The 20955-nt window shown below is 54.8% G+C and overlaps 2 non-coding genes and 2 pseudogenes across 5 annotated transcripts, besides 5 other annotated features; 2 read left to right on the forward strand and 2 right to left on the reverse strand.

Moving 5' to 3' along the window:
- Positions 1 to 224: 224 nt before the first annotated feature.
- Positions 225 to 362, reverse strand: MIR1302-10 (microRNA 1302-10). Its single transcript, NR_036267.1, has one exon. It is a non-coding gene; the product is annotated as a microRNA 1302-10 (primary transcript).
- Positions 363 to 578: 216 nt separating this feature from the next.
- On the forward strand, positions 579 to 16371 carry WASH3P (WASP family homolog 3, pseudogene; annotated as a pseudogene). Its single transcript, NR_003659.2, has 11 exons — positions 579 to 1407; positions 5836 to 5989; positions 12362 to 12460; positions 12667 to 12813; positions 12986 to 13118; positions 13358 to 13493; positions 13671 to 13872; positions 13961 to 14119; positions 14779 to 14931; positions 15690 to 15758; positions 15899 to 16371. The product of NR_003659.2 is annotated as a WASP family homolog 3, pseudogene (transcript).
- Positions 990 to 1491: an enhancer, noted in NCBI's record as "OCT4-H3K27ac hESC enhancer chr15:102501427-102501928 (GRCh37/hg19 assembly coordinates)". NCBI's record gives its function as "activates a minimal SCP1, AML or CMV promoter by ChIP-STARR-seq in primed H9 embryonic stem cells {active_cell/tissue: H9 hESC(primed)}" and the evidence as "EXISTENCE:reporter gene assay evidence [ECO:0000049][PMID:30033119]".
- Positions 1110 to 1159: a silencer, noted in NCBI's record as "silent region_6895". NCBI's record gives its function as "represses an Ori minimal core promoter by ATAC-STARR-seq in GM12878 lymphoblastoid cells {active_cell/tissue: GM12878}" and the evidence as "EXISTENCE:reporter gene assay evidence [ECO:0000049][PMID:35858748]".
- Positions 1270 to 1329: a silencer, noted in NCBI's record as "silent region_6896". NCBI's record gives its function as "represses an Ori minimal core promoter by ATAC-STARR-seq in GM12878 lymphoblastoid cells {active_cell/tissue: GM12878}" and the evidence as "EXISTENCE:reporter gene assay evidence [ECO:0000049][PMID:35858748]".
- Positions 13290 to 13357, forward strand: MIR6859-3 (microRNA 6859-3). The gene has a single exon (NR_107063.1). It is a non-coding gene; the product is annotated as a microRNA 6859-3 (primary transcript).
- Positions 14371 to 14927: an enhancer, noted in NCBI's record as "H3K4me1 hESC enhancer chr15:102514808-102515364 (GRCh37/hg19 assembly coordinates)". NCBI's record gives its function as "activates a minimal SCP1, AML or CMV promoter by ChIP-STARR-seq in primed H9 embryonic stem cells {active_cell/tissue: H9 hESC(primed)}" and the evidence as "EXISTENCE:reporter gene assay evidence [ECO:0000049][PMID:30033119]".
- Positions 16041 to 16596: an enhancer, noted in NCBI's record as "H3K4me1 hESC enhancer chr15:102516478-102517033 (GRCh37/hg19 assembly coordinates)". NCBI's record gives its function as "activates a minimal SCP1, AML or CMV promoter by ChIP-STARR-seq in primed H9 embryonic stem cells {active_cell/tissue: H9 hESC(primed)}" and the evidence as "EXISTENCE:reporter gene assay evidence [ECO:0000049][PMID:30033119]".
- Positions 16324 to 18859, reverse strand: DDX11L9 (DEAD/H-box helicase 11 like 9 (pseudogene); annotated as a pseudogene). Of its 2 annotated transcripts, none has more exons than NR_034090.1 (3): positions 18506 to 18859; positions 18012 to 18120; positions 16324 to 17512 (listed from the first exon to the last, which is right to left on the reverse strand). The product of NR_034090.1 is annotated as a DEAD/H-box helicase 11 like 9 (pseudogene), transcript variant 1 (transcript). The 2 variants fall into 2 exon arrangements; NR_051985.1 differs by having other exon boundaries at positions 16324 to 17330; positions 18012 to 18138.
- Between the last annotated feature and the right edge of the window lie 2096 nt (positions 18860 to 20955).

The raw sequence follows: 20955 nt of genomic DNA on the forward strand, positions 1-20955 counted from the left end.
ATTTGGAGAGGACATAAACATTCTGTCTACAACATGAGTGGAGATCCATCTCTTCTTTACCTCTGGTAAGGGGACCACACGCTGCAGCCAGCGAGACAGTGGCATGTTCTTGTTACAACTCGATCTAACTCCCCCAGAAGAGGAGGCAGGGAAGGCGGACAAAACTGGGAGAGGGAGAGAGTGTTAGGAAGAGAGTAGGGTGGCCAGAGGCAGCAAATAAAATATAAAATGCTTAATTCTGAATCTCAGATAAACAACCAATAATGTTTTTTAGCATAAGTATGTCCCAAACTAAGCTTGGGACATATTTATGCTACGAAATTATTCGTTGTTTATCTAAAATTCAAACTAGCTGGGCATCCTGTCTTTTAATCTGGCAACCCTAAAAGGCAAGGGCCAAAAATGCCGGAGGCAAGCCAACGGATTCCAGGAGGGACAACTGCTGGACTTTGGACTGATGATGCTCTTTTTATATATTTAACTTTTTAAAAAAGCCTCTTTTCTTTCTTTTTACCAGCTTTTCACTAGCTTTTTAAAAATTGTGGTAAAACATACATAACCTAAAATTCACCGTCTAAACCATTTTTCAGCATACAGTTCAGTGGGATTAAGTAGATTCACACTGTTGTGCCGCCATCACTACCACTCATTTCCAGCACCCTTCCATCACCCCAGCCTGAAACTCTACCCATTGAACACGAGCTGCCCAACTCCGCCTTGCTTCCCCATTCCTGGCGACCACTGCTTCTGTCTCTGTGAATTTTGACTATTCTAGGCACTTCACAAAACTGGACTCATACGATATCTGTAGTTTTGCGTCTGGCTTCTCTATTGAATTCTTAAAGGGGGGTGGGAACTAAGCAGATCACAAGGGAGCTGCCCACAGAGGTAAAGACAAGGTCAGGTAGGCTGAGAGACGCAGGAAAGCGGGTCAAGGCGTAGGGCTGGAGGGCAGGGGCGGGCCCTGGGCGTGGGCTGGGGGTCCTGCCCCGGGGCGCACCCCGGGCGAGGGCTGCCCGGAGGAGCCGAGGTTGGCGGACAGCTTGGCCCTGAGCTTGAGGGGAAGGCAGCGATGGGACAAAGGACGGAGGTCTAGGAAGAGGGTCTGCAGAGCAGAAAGCACGGGTAGGGGCGGCCTGACGCTCGGAAGACAACGGATGGGAGCCGTGTGCACGTCGGGAGCTGGGAGTGAGCGTGAGTTCCGTGCCCAGGCCCGCGACTCGGTCCACGAGGACAGCGCTCCGGGTCGACGGGGTCCTGGAGCCGCGCTCGGGGAGGGCGCAGCGGAGGGCGAGCGGCGGCGTTAGGACCCGGAGGCGCGGGCGGACTGTGGGCGGCGGGGCTAGGACCCAGCGGCTCCGGCAGAGCGGAAGCGGCGGCGGGAGCTTCCGGGAGGGCGGCTCGCAGGTGAGGAGGCGTCCGGGGCCGCGGGAAGTAGGGTCGTGGGGGCCTGGCGGGGCGAAGTAGGGGACCCGGAGGGGCTGGAGGGAGGCGGGCGGGAGGCCCGGGACCGTTCCTGACCGAGAAGCCTGCGCCAAGCTGGTGTTCCGCGGCCGCTGCCCGGTGCCCGGCTCCACTGCGAACGCCGCCGCTGGGCCCCGACCGCCCGGGAGGCGTCTTGGGCTCGCCCCGGAGCTTCCTCCCTGGAGCCGCGCCCTGCACCCGGCCTTGCCCGGCCCTAGCAGGGAAGCCAAGGCTTGTGGGGCGCAGGGACCCGGGCTCTGCGGGGTCCCGGTTCCACCTCCCCACTCCTGCGTCTTCCCGCCCCGGCCGGGTTCTGGGAAGCCTCGCGCGGCTCTTCCGCAGCTGCTGCCCGCCCGGAGCTCCTGGTCCCTCGTAGGGGACCCCACTTCTCTGACACCGCGTTGGGTTCCCGGGGCCTACAGCGAGGCCTGTAACTCCGGGAGAGACCCTGGAGCGGGGTGTGGGAGAACGGTCTGGAGGAAGGGCTCCGAGCACTTCGAAAGTATAAACCGCGGTCCCAAAGAGGCGTGCTGTGTCTGCATTTTCCTGGGAGTGCACGGTTTACATTCTCGAAAGTAGTGCTGTCGACTAGAAATATTGAGCGATACACATGTACAAGTTTTGTCACTTAAAAAGAATTTGAAAAAACTTCATAGATGCAAAAAAAAAAAACCCACCATTATTAAAGAATACTTAGGTATTTGTGGAATGCATTGAAGAGTTAACAAAATGGATAGGCAGGAAATATCGCAGACCTAGAATGAATTACAGCTACCCACTGTGGAACTGAGGAGCTAGGGTTTCTCATAAAACTCCCTGATAGAAGACGACTTTTGATAAAATTTTTTTTCCGCCAACAAAATCCCCTGTCTTCTCAACTAGTTACTGTCTGTCCACTAAATAAGAGGTGGTCCGTCACTTCTTCAGATGAGCAACTACAGGCTTTTCAAAAGATAATTGCTAATCAACCCCTTTGTGCCTGGGTTTTCTTATTTGTAAAAATAGATACTACTACCTAACTCCAAAGTGTGTGGTGAAGACAAACAATTGGGGTGATGTATACTAAAGTAACGAAAGTGTTGACCATACACTACGGGCTGGTTAGTGTTAGATTCCCTTGTTTTTCCCTCAGTATCAAAAACAGATCTAATTTAGGTTTACATAAAGACAAAATATGAAGATAAGGTGACTTACAGTTGGTACTACTAACAAAATGTTTGGGCTAAGATTTGCATTATTGCATGAAAACAACAAAACATATCAATAAATAACAAAAAGCTTGGAATTCAGACAACAGATCCAAGTCTGGGCTTGATCTCAAGCTAGTGTTTTGATGTTGAAAAAATGTTATTTGGTCTTTCTAACCCCATTTCCTTATGTAAAATTGGGGATGATGATAAATTCACTGATAATAAGAGTTAAATGAGATTCTTGAGGAGTCAGAATGGTTCTAACATGTGTAGGTATTATTAGCAGTCATACTGTAGCATAAGAAAATACCGTCTGCTGAAAGAGGGACAATAAAGATTATCTACATGGTCATCATTTAAAAGCTACCAGATATAGGAAGAAGGGGCCATAAAATGATAACGTTATGATGATTAATTTTGATGCTTAGGTCAGAGTCCATTCTAGGATATCTGCTGCCCAAAAACAGCAGAGACTCATTTCTTTGGAATCACAGGACGCTGAGTGAGAGGAAAGAAAAAGAAAAGAAATATTTAAGTCACATATGTGATTTCTAAAAGTAAAAAGAAACAGATGAAATTAGTGATATATTTTTAAAATCCAGTATATCCCAAATATGGTTATTTTAGCATGTAATCAATATAAAATAATAAGATATTTTACATTCTTTTTTTCTAGCCTTTGAAATTTGGTGCATATTTTACACTTATGGCACATCTCAATTCAGACTATCCACATTTCAAGTGCTCAGTGGCTGCATGTGCCTGGTGGCTACCATATTGGACAGCACAGGTCTAAGGATTTCATTCCTGCCACAAGTCCAAACTCCTAGCTTTAATTTTGAGTGTTTTTAACAAACTGGCCTCTGTTTATCATTCTTTCTTCTAGTACTTCCCCAAGGATGATTGTACCCTCAGCACTCAAGACCGCTTGCGGTTCCCTTACACACTTTTTGTTCAAGCTGTTTCTTTTACCTGGAATGCTGTCTTTGCACCTTCTTCCTGGACCTGGTTCACCCTTGTTGCCTAGGCTGGAGTGCCATGGCGCGATCTTGGCACACTGCAACCTCCACCTTCCCGGTTCAAGTGATTCTCCTTCCTCAGCCTCCCGAGTAGCGGGGATTACAGGCATGCACCACCACGCCTGGCTAATTTTGTATTTTTAGTAGAGATGGAGTTTCACCATGTTGGTCAGACTGGTCTCGAACTCCCGACCTCAGGTGATCTGCCTGCCTTCGCCTCCCAAAGTGCTGGGATTACAGGCGTGAGCCGCTGCGCCCGGCCGAGAGGCACACATTCTGCTAAGAGCTTTTTCCTGACTCCCCTAACTCCAAGAGGGATTTGTCACTCCTTAGCTTTGTACTCATGACTGGAGTAGAATGAATTTAATTTGAGTTTAGTTGTTTTTGAGACTCTCCCTGGCTAGTGTAGTGTCTTATTCGTCTTTGTTGTGATCATGGCCTGCACCTAACAGATGATCAGTAGATGTTTGCAGACAGAAAGTAAACCACTCATCAGGTGTATTCAGTCCCATTCTTGAACGGGCTTGCTGCCTCCTTTTTGAGGAGATCTGTGTATGTACTATTCTTTCACGCATATGTGTGAGCAAACACACACACACTAACAAGAAATTCATCTGAAGATGTGCACAGGAAATATCTTGCATCTTTACCCCCTTTGTGATCTTACATATGGGAGAACTGAGGCACAGAAATAAGTTAGGACAGCCAGCAAACTTGCATCAGTATAAATACAAAGAAGGGGAGGGAGGAACATGCTTGAAAGGGGTGTGCTGGTCTCAGAGGGTTAGGTTTCTCAGTTGGCTGGGCATCAGCTGGCCATGCTTTAGTTATTTGATGGGAGGAAAAATAAGTGGGAGGTGAGGAGTAACTCCTGGGCTCTGATGAGTATTCAAGGCAAGTACAGATCTGGAAAGCCTGTATGCAAAGGAGGAACTCACTGAAAAGTGCTGGCCTGAGGAGGGCAGAAGGGAGGGCTGGGGAAGCCAGCAGCGGGAGCAAAGGAGTAGGCTCCTACTGGGTGAAGATGTTGGTGTGGTGCGTTATGTAAAATATACAAATTATTATTGGGAATAACCACGTCTCAGCAGTGCTAGTTCTCAGTTTGGAGAATGGGAAATCGAAAGGATCAGATTCAGAGACGGCAACTTACTCAAGGTCACAGCATTTTAAACCCAAATGAAATCTCCTAGGCCCTTCATGCCACACTCATCCATCCCTACCTACTTGTGTTGCAACCAAGGGCCCCACTGTAGTGCCTAGGGGAGCAGGTCTAGGGCACAGTGCCAGGCCTGATTAATGTCTTCCTTACCATTTTCCAGCGAGGGGCTGTGATTAGGCCTATTTATAGGGGCCTGGTCCCTTAATATTCTGCCTGGTGCATCTCTTGCCAATCAAATCAGTGCTGTCTGCAGTGTGATTGCTGCTTTAGTGGCACCAGGGAGAGGAGTTAATTAAACCCAATATAAATAGACTCTGCCCTCACTTTGCAATTCCAGGAGTGTTTTTCCTTCCTGTCCTCCACCCCCACAGGCACCTCTTTCCTCTTGTCCCCCTAAGCTCTAGCCTGGGTGAGCAGGGCTGGCTACTCCTATACCTAGAGTCACTAGCCACTTGCCCAGTCTGTTTCAGGAGCAGGCCTCAGATTCCTCAGGGGTTAAAGTGGGAAGAACCCGTGTGTGCACATTTTTTGTGCTTTTCCAGAACTGGGTACCATTTGGCAGTTGATCACCCAATCTCCCCCGCTACCCCATTTCTACCCCTTTGTTTCCAGCCTCTTTTTTCCTCTGCAACCAAGGTTTCTTGTTTATCCAAGGTGGGGAGCTGAACTGAGACAAGGTATGGAAAGGGTGCCTGGCAGGTAGCAAGCACCTTGTAGGGGGTCAGAAATGTTGCACCTTCTCTGAACTCCTCCATTGACCCTACAGATTCCCCAGTCCCGGGCCCTGCCCTTTCCCTCATTCACTCAGCAGGCATCAGCAGAGTCCCATCTATGCGCTCCTGGCCTCTCACCAAATGCTCTGTCCCCTACTCCCCTATCTGTGCAGGCTGAAGCTATGTGCATAGTTGGGATGAGGGCTGTGTTGTCTCAACACCACCCTGCCCTGTGGTGGGTGGGTGCAGGTGGTCGTGGGTGGCTGTGATGCTCCGGCTCCCACCCACAGGCACCATGACTCCTGTGAGGATGCAGCACTCCCTGGCAGGTCAGACCTATGCCGTGCCCCTCATCCAGCCAGACCTGCGGCGAGAGGAGGCCGTCCAGCAGATGGCGGATGCCCTGCAGTACCTGCAGAAGGTCTCTGGAGACATCTTCAGCAGGTGGGTGCTGCCACCCACCCCCACCTGATGAGAGGGCCATCCCTGTCCTGGGCAATCCCAGCAACACACCCTCTGGGAGCAGCCCCCTTGGGGAATCCCGGTCCTGGGGAACCCATCTGGCTTCCCTGTGTGGGAGGGGCTGAAGTGAGAGCCCAACTTGGAAGCTTTTACTCCTGGGAGTCCGAGAGCTCACTCCCTTCCACCCCACTTAGCCTCCTGGTTTCCTGTGGTGGCTCTGCTCTCACAACTCATGCTTTTCCTCCCATTGGAGGGCCTATTCCTTCACGTTTTCCTGCAGCCAACAAATATTTACCCAGCAGTGCTCGTGTGCAAGGCAGTGTGGGAATCTCTATATATCCAGCCACGGATAAGGCAACATACCTCTCCACCTGGAGCGCACATTCTGGCAGGAGAGAAAGACCTAAATAAGCAATAGATGATTAGTTCTTCAATAACAGTTGTGACAAGGTCTATTGATAATATTTTGTAATCACTAATATTCATATAAACCGTGCACAACCATTGATTTGAGTGCATTAACTCACACTTCATGAGCAGGCACTGCCGTCATCTCATTTTATAGATGAGGAAACTGAGGCACAGAAAGGCTGAGAGACCTGGCCTAGTGACAGAGCCAGGATTCAAAGCCATAGATCATGGCCCCGGGTTATGTAGGTTATTACTGCATCTGTTCAGGGGAGATGGGGTACTGTGAGGCTCGTCATGGGAAGCCTGGCTTGGTCTCAGGTCAGGGAAGGCAGATGTGAGGAAATGACATTTATGGTAAAGTCTGAGGGTTGAGTGGGTAGGTTGGGAAGAACATTCCAGAAAGAAGCACATGAACTACAGCCTGGAGGTGGAGGACCTAAAAGGAAGCCAGCATGGCTGGAGCACGGAGTGGCCATTGAGGGAGGCGAGCTGGAGGGCTGCAGCTTCTTGTATTGGCAGTGCTGACCTCGCACAGTCCTTGGGCTCCAGTGACTTCACTCAGTGTTTATCTAACATGAGTGAGTGAATGGTGTTTGCTGTTTTTTTGGTAAAGGTCCCAGGGGTTGTCGGGTACACAGGTCCTGTCTTTGGCCATAAGCAAACTGAAATGAGGCTTGGTCTCCTTCCCAGGATCCCACACCATGCCTCACATGGTAGACCCCAGTGGGAAGTATGTGACTGCCTGACTCAGGTGCCTCTCGTGGTCCAAGCCATCCCTGCCCTGTCCCTTCCCTGGTTGTCGCCAGACCTGGAGCCCCTGCTCCTTCACTTTGCAGCCTCCTCTTCTGTCACCAACTGGGAACCCACCTCTTCCTGAAAGTCCTCCCCCACTGACTCACCGGCTTGCCCCGAGCTTGTCAAGAATGTCCCAGTAACCAGGGGACACACACTGAAGTGACTGAGGGGTTACCTTGGAGTTGATGCCTTGGCTCAGATCCAGCTCCCCTGTTTTCTTCCTCTGTAACCTTGGGCAACCCAACCCCTCTAAGCCTCGGTGTTCTCATTTGTGAAGTTGTGGTAATAATGGTAGCTTCCTGGTAGAATTATTGTAAATATTAAATTAATCAAAACATGAAAAGGAATGGAACAGTGCTTGGCACCTAGGAAGCCTTCAGGAAATGCTATCTCTTCCCTGTTGATAATCTTGACCCGTACACTGCCTTTGGTTGCCATTCATGAACCTGCCACCAATAGTAACAAAGTGCTGGATGCACCTTTTGTGCTTATCTTTGTGCTAAATGTGCCCGAGGGACACCTAGGGAAGAGGATGCAGGTCTTTAAGAGCCATCAGCTCCAGATTATGGCCACCCCATGTCCAGCACTTAGAATGGAGGCCAAAACCATTCCCTCGGAAATTGTGTTTCCTTGCCAAGATGGGGACTGCGTGGTTGCCCTTCTCTGAGGGCAGCGCTGGATTTTTGGCGTCTTTCCTTTCCTGTCCTGGTACTTGGCACCTTGTAGACAGTTGCATGTCCCCTGCCCAGGGATGGGATGAGGAGAGGGCAGGAAGGCATTTCCTGGGTAGTGGAGTGCTGTGTTCATTGAGTGTGGGTTCTCCAAGCTGCTGGCACAGCGCAGGGAGGGCCAGATGCCTCTCAGGAGCCTTGGGCCTGAGTCCTGGCTCCCTCACTCCTGGGTTCCAGGTCACTGCATCTGTCTCTCCACCATGTGCTCCACCTCGTGCTGGACCTTAAGAGATACCAATTATGTGGCTGCCACTGTGTCCTAGAGGCTGGAATGGGAACACATAGGGCGAGATTGATTGTTAATTGCTAGCATGAACCGCGTGGGCTTCTCAGGGTCTAGAGTGGAGAGAAATCGGTAAGAATTGGTGGCACGCCTGTCAGAACTCCCCAGACCAAGCTAAGCATAAATTAACCAATCAGTAGAGCAGCCTTCGGAGTAAGGGCTAAAATGATGTCCTCAGGGCCTGGTTTTGCTTTCCTTCCATGTCAGTTTGCTTCTTTGGGTCTGGCTGCATTCCCAGACAGGCCATGCTCTCGTGGTAGCAAGGTGACATGACACAGGGTCAGGTCCAGCAGGAAAGAATGCTGTCCTGTGTCCCCACTTCCTCCAGAAGCCACACTCACCCATCCCACCTGGCTTGGTCCTCATGTCTATCCCAGAATCCATTAATGGGGCCAGGGGACTATGACACACCACTTGGCTTAGACTGAGGAGCTCTGTGGGCAGCCCCACCTGAAGCTCTGGGACTAAGCCTGCGAGAGAGATGGATTCCCCAAGGGAAATGGGGCCATTGCTTGAGTAAAAAGGAAATAGTTGCTGAAGAGGAAAACCACGTGCTTACTCCACATAGGGCAGACTCCTGGAAGAGGGGGGCAGGGTAGGGAGGTGGATATGCAGGTTGCCCTGGCAGGGTCTGGAAATGGGGGCTGCAGGCTTGGAGGGAGGCCTCAGTGTGGCTTGGAACGTGGTGTATGGTGGTCTGCCGCGAAGGCCGGCCTGCACAGGGGTGGGAGGGGGGTGCTTCTGCATGGGAAGCACAGACAGCGCTGCCTCTCCCTTGCACTCAGCTCTCGGGGCATGAGAGGCTGACTTTCCGTGAGCCTGTGGGCCAGGCCTCTTTGAATGGGGCTGAGGGAGCTTTGCCCTGGTTCCTTTGTGTCCCCACGGTGCCACGGGAGGCTCCCTGGCAGGGTGTGGGGCAAGGCAGTGAGTGAAGAGTTGGGATGAGTGAGTTAGGGCCCACGGATTACTCAAGACAGGACTTCAAGTTGATTCAGGCGTGTTAGGGAGCTGTGATTGGATTTTGAGCAGGGCAGGGATGGGACAGAAGAGTTTGGGGAAGGTTCCTCAGGCATCCGTCACGGAAGGGACAAGAAGGGAGAGAGAGTGGATGCCAGGGACACCCAGAAGCTGTTATTGTAGTCAGGATACGACAGGGGTGAGGCTACAGACAGGGGACTTGCAAGCAGGGAGGGCAGGGTGAGACATTCAGAGGAAACGACAACAGGAAATGGTGACAGATAGGGAACGAGGATGAAGGGAAGGGAGAGCCAGTGACGACTGGCAGTGGAGTGGGGAGCACCGCCACCTCTCCTCCTCCACTTGCCCCTCCTGTGGCACTGGACAAGCTAGTGGGCTTTTCGTTGTCCATGGGCTTTTTCGGTGGGGATGTGACCAGCTTTGAACCCGTCCCCTTAAACATGCTCCTCCTGCATGGAAGAGACAGGGGCAGGGGAGAGACTCTCTCCCCACCACCCAGCTCAGGCCCCAGCACAGCCCGGCCTCTGGCCTCACTGGCGTCTGTGCCCAGTGACGCAGGCAGGTGAGCTCCTGGCAAATTAGCATTGCAGGCTGTGCTCTCTCCTCCTGCTCTGCTGCAGCTGGGAGTGTGCAGAGACTGGAGGGGATGACAGTCACCCTCTGTTTTCTGTGGTGGCTCTGTTTTCTGTGGTGCTGGATGCACCTCTGTTTTCTGTGGTGGCTCCAAGAGAGTGCACGGTCCCTGCTGATTGAAAGAAGGATGAAGGGCAGAAGAGGGGCGGGGAGCTGTGTGCCCTAAGATCTCATTGCCTTTTTATGCCGATTAACATGCTTTTAGCCCCTACTGAGCTTATAGTTAACAGAAGTTTCCGGGTCTTTCTTCACCTGAACTGTGTCTAAAGCAAGTTCCCTCCACCTTCTGTATTTATATGCTTGATTTTTAAAACCTAAATGTTGGGCTTCACATTTGTTCCTTGTAAATTTCATCTTGGTGATTGCAGTCTACCCTCTGGCCTTTAAAAATTGTCTGAGCCTTGATTCAATCATGAAACCAGCTTACCCTTCCCCTGTGTGCTGGCCCCAGTTTTCTAACCAGGTGTTGAATGAACTGGATGGACTCTGCCAGATCCCTCCGTGCAAGGCTGGAATCAGTCCATTGTTCAACTGTGCCCTTTGGGGCTGTGGTTCATTTGGCTCTGATTTTTCCTATATGTTCTCTCCTCCAACCCCCATAGCTCCATCTTGTCTACAAGATTTTGTTAGAAGCCGTCAAAATCCTGCTGACTTGAGATGCACTGTGCTGCATGTTTTCCCCGGGCACAGCAGGCTAATAATCCTGTTACAAAGAGAAATGCTGTACATTTCGAGCAGTGCTGGCCCCTGGGGCTCACCGCGGCCTTTTCTAAGTGCTTACAGACTCTCTGTTTAATAATCCATTCCAGAAATTTTCCAGGGCTCATTGTTGAGCTTGGTGTTCGCAACTTTGAGTGATCAGCCCTTCTCCTTTGTGGGAGCACCAGGACAGAGCAGCCTTTGTCCCTCCCCAGTCTCAGTTCCCTCCCACTGCCCCTGTGGACCTCGAATGCAGAGCTTATGCACCTACCGAAGGTCGTGTCAGCACCCAAAGCAGAATGAGGCTGCCCTGGGAACTAGGGTCAATTAAGACAGCTTGTGCTGGAGGACCCTTTACAGCAGATGAAGGCCTCTCCCCAGCCAGAAAAGATGGAGCACACGCTGGGTGGTGGCCCCGCTTCCTCACTGGAAGGAGATGGTGCTCTTCTTTTTTCTTTCTGAATTGTGGCCACCTTCATACCAGTCTGTCATGGAACACTTAAGCCGCTTGAGTGCCTGCTGGTACTCCCAGCCCTGCCATGCCTGAGCCCCCTGCACACAAGGAGCCAGGAGTAATCAGGGCAGACCCTTTAGGGCATGGGGACTTCTGGATTGTGAAATTGGCTCTCTGGGGGCCAAGGCCTTCTAACGTTGGTGGAAGTGGCTTTGGCTTATTGGGTCGGATTCTAGGCCATTCATTCTAACGTTTAGAGACATCCCAGCTTTCCCTAGCCCAGAGTCTGCAGCCCCTCCACCATCCCACATCCTCCCCCTCCCTTTCCTCGTGAACCCCAGTCGCGCCTCTGCCTTCTCAAACCCCTCCACCATCCCACACCCTCCTCCTGCCCTTCCTCATGAACCCCAGTCGCGCCTCTGCCTTCTCATCCCTGCGCACCACACAGGCTCACTCGTGCCCAGTGAGTGCTGAGGCTGCTCTGCACGTGGAGTGTTGGCCCTGTGGGCAAGGGCTGGGCTCTTGGAGGTAGGGGAGCTACAGGGGCGACTGGGAGGAGGATGTTGTGTTACACACGCATCAGAGTTAACTTTGCAGTGAGAGCGGCCTTGCTGCGGCCAAAGAACATGGAAAAGCATGAGTGGGGTGATGTGCCTTAAAGCATCAGACACTTGGGCCTCGGGCATCAGGAGCCAGCCACAGGGATGTCTGGGGAAATGGCGTTCCATGAGATGCAAGCACACAAGAATGCACTTGGCACATCTGGGGAACAGCAGGCAGCTGATATCACTGGGCCCACCCCGCACCAGGGAGGATGGAAGCAGGTGAGGAGCTAGACCACACTGAGGCGGTGGTCGGGACTCGGGGTTTGCTCAGTGAGCCGTTCACTATGTGCAGGGGCAGTTCCCCGTCTGAATTTAGGTGACGACACTCAGGTCCAGCCTTGCCAGTCTCAGCCTCCGGTCTCCGTTCCCCCTCTGCAGAGGCCACATTGTCTGCTGCACGTGATCATGAGGGGTTGTGAAGTGCTTGCCCCATCAGTAGCCATGTGTGCATGTGTAAATACCATCCTCTGTGTGCCCTGGAGGCTGTCCTTCAGATAGCATGTACAGGTGGCAGCATAGGGCCTGTCCCTACTGAGAGTGCAGGGAACTCAGCACCGTCAACTCCTCGACCCTGCAGGTCAGATTATCCTTGTAGAGGCCCCCTGGATGGCACCAAGATCGGCCCTGGCAAGTAGGTGACCCTGACTTCAGAGCCCTTGCCTGAGGGCCTGGCCTGGCAGCTCTGCTGTTAGAAGCAGGAGGTGTGCAGGGGGTGGGGAGCAGCCCAGCCTCTGTGATCTTCTCCATGGCAGGATCTCCCAGCAGGTAGAGCAGAGCCGGAGCCAGGTGCAGGCCATTGGAGAGAAGGTCTCCTTGGCCCAGGCCAAGATTGAGAAGATCAAGGGCAGCAAGAAGGCCATCAAGGTAGTCCCCATACCCCTGTGTCCTGAGGCTACTGGGCAGTCCCTCCATTTCCCCGTGCCTCTGAGGCTGCCCAGTCTCTGCCCTGCTGCCCACCTGTACCTTGAGCTTTCTTCTCGCCCAGGCTTCCAACTCCACCCTCTCCTGCCAAGCAATCCTAGCCCTCTGAGCCTCTTGGGGCCCCCTCAGACTTGTCCCTGTGTCCACAGGTGTTCTCCAGTGCCAAGTACCCTGCTCCAGAGCGCCTGCAGGAATATGGCTCCATCTTCACGGGCGCCCAGGACCCTGGCCTGCAGAGACGCCCCCGCCACAGGATCCAGAGCAAGCACCGCCCCCTGGACGAGCGGGCCCTGCAGGTCTGCTGGCCGCGCATATAGCCTGTCACACACCAGGAGGACTGGATACTGGGGAGGAGCCGGGGCCACCATAGGGTTCTGTCCCCCAGAGGAGGCTGACTGGGATGGGATGGCAGCTGATTAGGCCCAGCACCAAATATTCACCATCCGTTGGCCATCCTGGCCCTCCCAGGAGAAGCTGACTTTCCTGTGTGCGTGAGCACCAAGCCGGAGCCCGAGGACGATGCAGAAGAGGGACTTGGGGGTCTTCCCAGCAACATCAGCTCTGTCAGCTCCTTGCTGCTCTTCAACACCACCGAGAACCTGTATGGCCAGAGGGCAGGGCCGAGGGGTGTGGGCGGGAGGCCCGGCCTGGCTTAGTGGGGACCCAGGGCATCAGACACAGGTACAGCACATAGGCCAGGAGCCAGGGGGTGACTGGGGTGGCTCGGCTCGGGAGGCCTGGGACCCCACAGTGCACGCTGTGCCCCTGATGATGTGGGAGAGGAACATGGGCTCAGGACAGCGGGTGTCAGCTTGCCTGACCCCCATGTCGCCTCTGTAGGTAGAAGAAGTATGTCTTCCTGGACCCCCTGGCTGGTGCTGTAACAAAGACCCATGTGATGCTGGGGGCAGAGACAGAGGAGAAGCTGTTTGATGCCCCCTTGTCCATCAGCAAGAGAGAGCAGCTGGAACAGCAGGTGGGAGGGGTGGGACAGAGGTGGAGACAGGTGCAGTGACCCAGGGCCTTGCCAGAGCTCCTCTCCAGTCAAGGCTGTTGGGCCCCTTATTCCACCCATGGGAGGTGCACACAAGGTCTTGTTGGCTGCCCCTGCAGGTCCCTGTCACCTCTCACATGTCCCTGCCTAATCTTGCAGGTCCCAGAGAACTACTTCTATGTGCCAGACCTGGGCCAGGTGCCTGAGATTGATGTTCCATCCTACCTGCCTGACCTGCCCGGCATTACCAACGACCTCATGTACATTGCTGACCTGGGCCCCGGCATTGCCCCCTCTGCCCCTGGCACCATTCCAGAACTGCCCACCTTCCACACTGAGGTAGCCGAGCCTCTCAAGGTAGGTGAGCTGGGTTCTGGGATGGGAGCTGGGCCGGGGACCTCCCTGGTCACACACCTTCTTTCCTAGACACCCCACACTTTGTGTTTCAGACCTACAAGATGGGGTACTAACACCACCCCCACCGCCCCCACCACCACCCCCAGCTCCTGAGGTGCTGGCCAGTGCACCCCCACTCCCACCCTCAACCGCGGCCCCTGTAGGCCAAGGCGCCAGGCAGGACGACAGCAGCAGCAGCGCGTCTCCTTCAGGTGGGAGCAGCTCTTTGAGGCCACCTGATTTCTGGCGTGCTCAGTGCACTCGGGTGGATTTTCTGTGGGTTTGTTAAGTGGTCAGAAATTCTCAATTTTTTGAATAGTTTCCATTTCAAATATCTTGTTCTACTTGGTTCATAAAATAGTGGCTTTCAAACTGTAGAGCTCTGGACTTCTCACTTCTAGGGCAGAGGGAGCCTGAACAAGTGAGGCTCTGGGTTCCCCATTCCTAATTAAACCAATGGAAAGAAGGGGTCTAATAACAAACTACAGCAACACATTTTTCATTTCAGCTTCACTGCTGTATCTCCCAGTGTAACCCTAGCATCCAGAAGTGGCACAAAACCCCTCTGCTGGCTCATGTGTGCAACTGAGACTGTCAGAGCATGGCTAGCTCAGGGGTCCAGCTCTGCAGGGTGGGGGCTAGAGAGGAAGCAGGGAGTATCTGCACACAGGATGCCCGCGCTCAGGTGGTTGCAGAAGTCAGTGCCCAGGCCCCCACACACCGTCTCCAAAGGTCCGGCCTCCCCAGCGCAGGGCTCCTCGTTTGAGGGGAGGTGACTTCCCTCCCAGCAGGCTCTTGGACACAGTAAGCTTCCCCAGCCCTGCCTGAGCAGCCTTTCCTCCTTGCCCTGTTCCCCACCTCCTGGCTCCAGTCCAGGGAGCTCCCAGGGAAGTGGTTGACCCCTCCGGTGGCCGGGCCACTCTGCTAGAGTCCATCCGCCAAGCTGGGGGCATCGGCAAGGCCAAGCTGCGCAGCATGAAGGAGCGAAAGCTGGAGAAGAAGCAGCAGAAGGAGCAGGAGCAAGGTGAGCGGGCCCTGGAGCTTGCAGTCGGAGGGCCTTGGGCAAGATCGCCTCCTCCCCTCCAGCCCTGAGTCCACCGGGTGCTTTCTGCCCACCCCCTGCTCTTGCCAGCTGGCCCCTGCTTCCCCTAGGGCACATGCTGGAAGCCCTGGGCCGCCACCAGAGGGTCCTCAGCCCTCCTGCCTGGGCTATGGCTCCTTCCTGGTTTGGGAGCCATAGTGGAGCTTTCCTCTCTAAGCTCACCCAGCTCAAACTGACAGGAGAATCTTCTTCGACTGCCAAGAGCGGTCCAAGGCAATGGTCAGCCACTGCAGCCTCCTGAGATATTTTTAGAGACTGGACCTGAGGCCTCTGGAGGCTACTGATGATGCCTGCTGTGAACGCAGACACTGGTGTGATGTGATGCCTGCGCCTGCAGCGGCAGTGCCCTGGGCACTATGGTTTTGAGCTTGTACCCAGCGCTGCTTTTGCCTTGCTCTGTGACCCCAGGCAAGCTGCCTCACCTCTCTGGGCCAGTTTCCCCATCGTACAGTGGTGCTGCACACCCTGGCCCTGTCCCCGAGGTGGCTGGGAGGTGGCTCCTCAAACAGCCGCTGTCTCATCAGTGCCCGGTGCTGGGTCAGGGATCGACTGAGGCTCTGAGCTAACTGGGAAACACAGTGGCCTTGGAGGGCTGGGGAGTGTCATGGGGGTGGGGACAGGGAGTCACCGGTCGCATGTGACTGAACTCTTCACCCCAGTCTGTGGCTTTCCCGTTGCAGTGAGAGCCACGAGCCAAGGTGGGCACTTGATGTCGGATCTCTTCAACAAGCTGGTCATGAGGCGCAAGGGTAGGAGGCAGGGCCGCTGCCCGCCCTGGGCCGGCACCTTGTAATTCTGTCCTGCCTTTTTCTTCCTGTATTTAAGTCTCCGGGGGCTGGGGGAACCAGGGTTTCCCACCAATCACCCTCACTCAGCCTTTTCCCTCCAGGCATCTCTGGGAAAGGACCTGGGGCTGGTGAGGGGCCCGGAGGAGCCTTTGCCCGCGTGTCAGACTCCATCCCTCCTCTGCCGCCACCGCAGCAGCCACAGGCAGAGGAGGACGAGGACGACTGGGAATCCTAGGGGGCTCCATGACACCTTCCCCCCCAGACCCAGACTTGGGCCGTTGCTCTGACATGGACACAGCCAGGACAAGCTGCTCAGACCTACTTCCTTGGGAGGGGGTGACGGAACCAGCACTGTGTGGAGACCAGCTTCAAGGAGCGGAAGGCTGGCTTGAGGCCACACAGCTGGGGCGGGGACTTCTGTCTGCCTGTGCTCCATGGGGGGACGGCTCCACCCAGCCTGCGCCACTGTGTTCTTCTCTTAAGAGGCTTCCAGAGAAAACGGCACACCAATCAATAAAGAACTGAGCAGAAACCAACAGTGTGCTTTTAATAAAGGATCTCTAGCTGTGCAGGATGCAAACGTCTCGGGGTCAGTGACTGCCTCCTGCCCCTGTTGGTCCCTAGGCAGTGGGGGCAGAAGCTCCCAGCTGACCTGTTTCTCTGGGATGAGAGGGAGGAGAGAAGGGCAGTCAGCAGGGGCAGCTGTTGCAGATGGGAGGAATAGTCTCCCACAAAAAAGGTTTCAGTGACAGACACGGGGTCTCTAAAAATAGTCATGCTGAGAGCCTAATGGCCCTTGGCACAATTGCTGGTGTTGGGGTAGAAGATGTCTTGGAGTTTGCTCAAGTGGTTGAGAGGGAGGGAGGTGCCATCGACTTGGAGGAACTGGCACCAAGCCAGGGAGATAGAAATCCAGGCAAGGCTGTGGGGCAGGTTAGGGAGCAAGGCTGCAGGAGTGACTCAGGAAGAAGGTGGGGGAGGTGACAAGCCCCCAGGCAGGGGCCCTGTGGCCATGGGGATCTTCTTAAATTGAGACTAGGGGGTGAATAGTCCAGGGCAGCTAACTTTAGTTATTATAGAAAGGGCAGTAGCAGATGGGTCTGCTCTGTCTCGCTTCTAAGAAGGTGGGCAGGACAAATGGCAGCCTCCTGCAGAGGCCCAGTGAGAAGCCTGGCCCTCGGCCACGCAGGATGGAAGACAGATTGGATTCCACAGAGGGGAGCTGCCCTGGGAAGATCTCACGGATGGCCAGGACCCACCATTTCTTCGGGATTCCCCTGTTTTCTCCAACGGGCACTAATGCCTGTGCCTGGGTCCTGGCAACACTCTGGACTCCACACTCTCCTGGGTTTCACCTTTGTAGCAGGATCCCTGCAGACCAGGCCCATGACAAACACCGTCTCCAGCGGGCAGAGCAAAGGAAGGGCACAGCGCCAGGCAGTGCTGCAGCTGCCTGTCAGGAAGAGGCCTACTTCTGGTGAAACTGGGCAGACAAAAGGCAGTGAGAAATGTGATCTCGGGGTGGTGGAGGCTCTAGGGAAAGGAAAAGGCAGGAGTGAACTTCCACACAGCAGCAATGGCAGAACCAAAGGTGGCTTTGACCTCCACGAGGGCTCAGATCCAGGCCAACAGCGTGTCCAGGACAGGGTGCCGGGTGTATCACTGGTCCAGGAGCACTATGCTGGCAGAATCCCTTTGGTGCCTGATGGCCCTGCCTTCGTGGGAACAGAGGCTAAGGCTTTGAGTTACAGCTGCCTCCCCAACAGTGCATCCCCTTCTCCTTCCTCAGCCTCAGGTAGGAGACAGGGCAGGCAACCTCACTTTCCTCTTCTCCCCTTCTCCAGCCCCTGTCTGTCGACCCAGTTGGAGGCAGCCAGGCTTGCCTATGGACTGGTTGACAGCCTTCATGCACAGGTTCTCCACCAGAGCCTTTCTTGGGGGCCCCTGGCCTGGGCTCTGAGCTGGGAGTGAAGGGGATGACCCATGCAGACTGTTTGCTGCTTGTAGCTTTCCCTGGGAAAGACTCTGCCAGGCCTTGGAGCCAGACTAGGAGGCTTTATAGGCCACCGCAAGCAGCAGGGCTCCAGATGACATCACAGGGAAGATCAAGAGGGTGTGGAGGGGCATCGAAGCCTCTCCAGGAGACAGGAGACGCCGGCCCCGTAGAGCCCTAGGGGCGACGCCACTCCCACTCACTGTCTACTCTCCTCTCACCTCTGCAACACTGGGGACACTCACAAGAGTGTGATCCAAGTCGGCCGTCGTCTTCTGCAGCTCTGGAGACCTGATGCTGGGGAAGGGCATGCCTGGCATCACCACACACCTGGGGGGAGACAGGAGCCTGGGGCCGGTGGGCCCACACATCACCAGCTGCTCCGTTCTACCATTTCTTCAGCCCTCTTGGCTGTGCCTGCGGCTCTGCCCCTCCCGTCTCTGCACCTACCACCCAGAGAGGGCTTGTTGAGCTCAGAGATCCCACCTAGGCCAATCCACTGGGTTCTGTGGCAGCGATGGCCTGCCTGATCTTCCACCTGCTCTCCCAGGGCCAAAGCCAGACCTGCTGAGCCCCTCCCTCCAGCCGGCTGGTCTGAGCAGTCACAGCCCGGCTTTGGGCTCCGATGGCAGCAGACGGCAGGTAGGGGTCCAGCTGCTGGAGCGAGGGCCGGCCACGTATCACAGCCAAGGAGATGAGCACAAGCACTACTTACTGGCCTAGGTTGTGAGAGAAGTTGATGCTCTCACTCATCTTTCCTCCAATCTTTCCCCTATGCCTGGTTGTGGTATTAAGTTACATGCAGACAACAGGGGCCAGAAGATGAACAATGGCCCATCCCACTCTAGGCATGGCTCCTCTCCACAGGAAAACTCCACTCCAGTGCTCAGCTTGCACCCTGGCACAGGCCAGCAGTTGCTGGAAGTCAGACACCTGCAGATGAAGACCACAGCATCAAGACCCTGTGACCTCTCAAAGGCCCGGTGGAAAGGACACGGGAAGTCTGGGCTAAGAGACAGCAAATACACATGAACAGAAAGAAGAGGTCAAAGAAAAGGCTGACGGCAAGTTAACGAAAAGAAAAATGGTGAATGATACCCGGTGCTGGCAATCTCGTTTAAACTACATGCAGGAACAGCAAAGGAAATCCGGCAAATTTGCGCAGTCATTCTCAACACCGGCCATGCAGCAAAATCATCAGTGGAAATTTAAAAAAATACACATGGCCAGGCCCCAGCCCAAATCACTAATAAGAATCTCCAGGGCTTCACCTGTTAGACTGGCAAAAATCCAAAAGTAAACACTTTGTGGAGAAACAGGCATTCCTAGACATTGCTGGTGGGATACAGAACAGTACAATTCTGATGGTAATCAGTTCACAAATTAAACATATTTATTTTTTACTTTTAAACCCAGGAATCCCATATTTAGGAGTCTACTGAGACCAAACAGCATATGCTCCGGGTGTTTCCCTATAATCCGCCAGTACTGTTGGAGCAAGAGGGCCCGGCAGTGTCCCCAGCTGCCAGCAGGTGGGCGTGCTGCCACTACACCTTGAGCAAGAGGACCCTGCAATGTCCCTAGCTGCCAGCAGGCGGCGTGCCACCACTATACAGTAAGCAAGAGGGCCCTGCAGTGCCCCGGCGCCAGCAGGGGGCGCTGGCCACCACTCTAAGCAAGAGAGCCCTGCAGTTGCCCTAGTCGCCAGCAGGGGGCGCCCTGGCACAGCACCGTGAGCAAGCGGGTCCTGTAGTGCCCGGCTGCAAGCAAGGGGCGGTCGATCCCGGCTTTTCGGATTACTGAGGTTCTACCCGTCTCTGCGCCGCGCCACCGTGACGTGAGTTTCTGCGCGTGCACGGCGCCACCCTCCCCCCGCCCCAGCCCGGCGCCGTGCGACTTTGCTCCTGCAACACACGCCCCCCCAACCCCCGCCCGTAGGCTTGCGTCTCTGCGCCTGCGCCACGCCTCCACCCCTGGACGCGCTAGCATGTGTCTCTGCGCCTGCGCCGGCGCGGTGCGCCTCTCTGCGCCTGCGCCACGCCTCCACCCCTGGACGCGGTAGCATGTGTCTCTGCGCCTGCGCCGGCGCGGCGCGCCTCTCTGCGCCTGCGCCACGCCTCCACCCCGGACGCGCTAGCATGTGTCTGCGCCTGCGCCGGCGCGGCGCGCCTCTCTGCGCCTGCGCCGGCGCGGCGCGCCTCTCTGCGCCTGCGCCGGCGCGGCGCGCCTTTGCGACGGCGGAGTTCCGTTCTCCTCAGCACAGACCCGGAGAGCACCGCGAGGGCGGAGCTGCGTTGTCCTCTGCACAGATTTCGGTGGTACTGCGAAGGCGGAGCAGAATTCTCCTCAGGTCAGACCCGGGCGGGCGGGCTGAGGGTACCGCGAGGGCGGAGCTGCGTTCTGCTCAGCACAGACCTGGGGGTCACCGTAAAGGTGGAGCAGCATTCCCCTAAGCACAGACGTTGGGGCCACTGCGTGGCTTTGGGACAACTCGGGGCGCATCAACGGTGAATAAAATCTTTCCCGGTTGCAGCCGTGAATAATCAAGGTCAGAGACCAGTTAGAGCGGTTCAGTGCGGAAAACGGGAAAGCAAAAGCCCCTCTGAATCCTGGGCAGCGAGATTCTCCCAAGCTAAGGCGAGGGGCTGCATTAAAGGGTCCAGTTGCAGCATCGGAACGCAAATGCAGCAGTCCTAATGCACACATGATACCCAAAATATAACACCCACGTTGCTCATGTGGTTAGGGTTAGGGTCAGGGTCGGGGTCGGGGTCGGGGTCAGGGTCACGGTTAGGGGTTAAGGGTTAAGGGTTAGGGGTTAAGGGTTGGGGGTTAAGGGTTAGGGTAGGGTTAGGGTTAGGGTTACGGGTTAGGGTTAGGGTTAGGGTTAGGGTTAGGGTTAGGGTTGTTAGGGTTAGGGTTAGGGTTAGGGTTGTTAGGGTTAGGGTTAGGGTTAGGGTTAGGGTTAGGGGTTAGGGGTTAGGGTTAGGGGTTAGGGGTTAGGGGTTAGGGTTGGGGTTAGGGTTAGGGTTAGGGTTAGGGTTAGGGTTAGGGTTAGGGTTAGGGTAGGGTTAGGGTTAGGGTTAGGGTTAGGGTTAGGGTTAGGGTTAGGGTTAGGGTTAGGGTTAGGGTTAGGGTTTAGGGTTAGGGTTAGGGTTAGGGTTA

Source organism: Homo sapiens, chromosome 15 (genome assembly GCF_000001405.40).
Source record: "Homo sapiens chromosome 15, GRCh38.p14 Primary Assembly".
NCBI classification, from domain to species: Eukaryota; Metazoa; Chordata; class Mammalia; order Primates; family Hominidae; genus Homo; species Homo sapiens.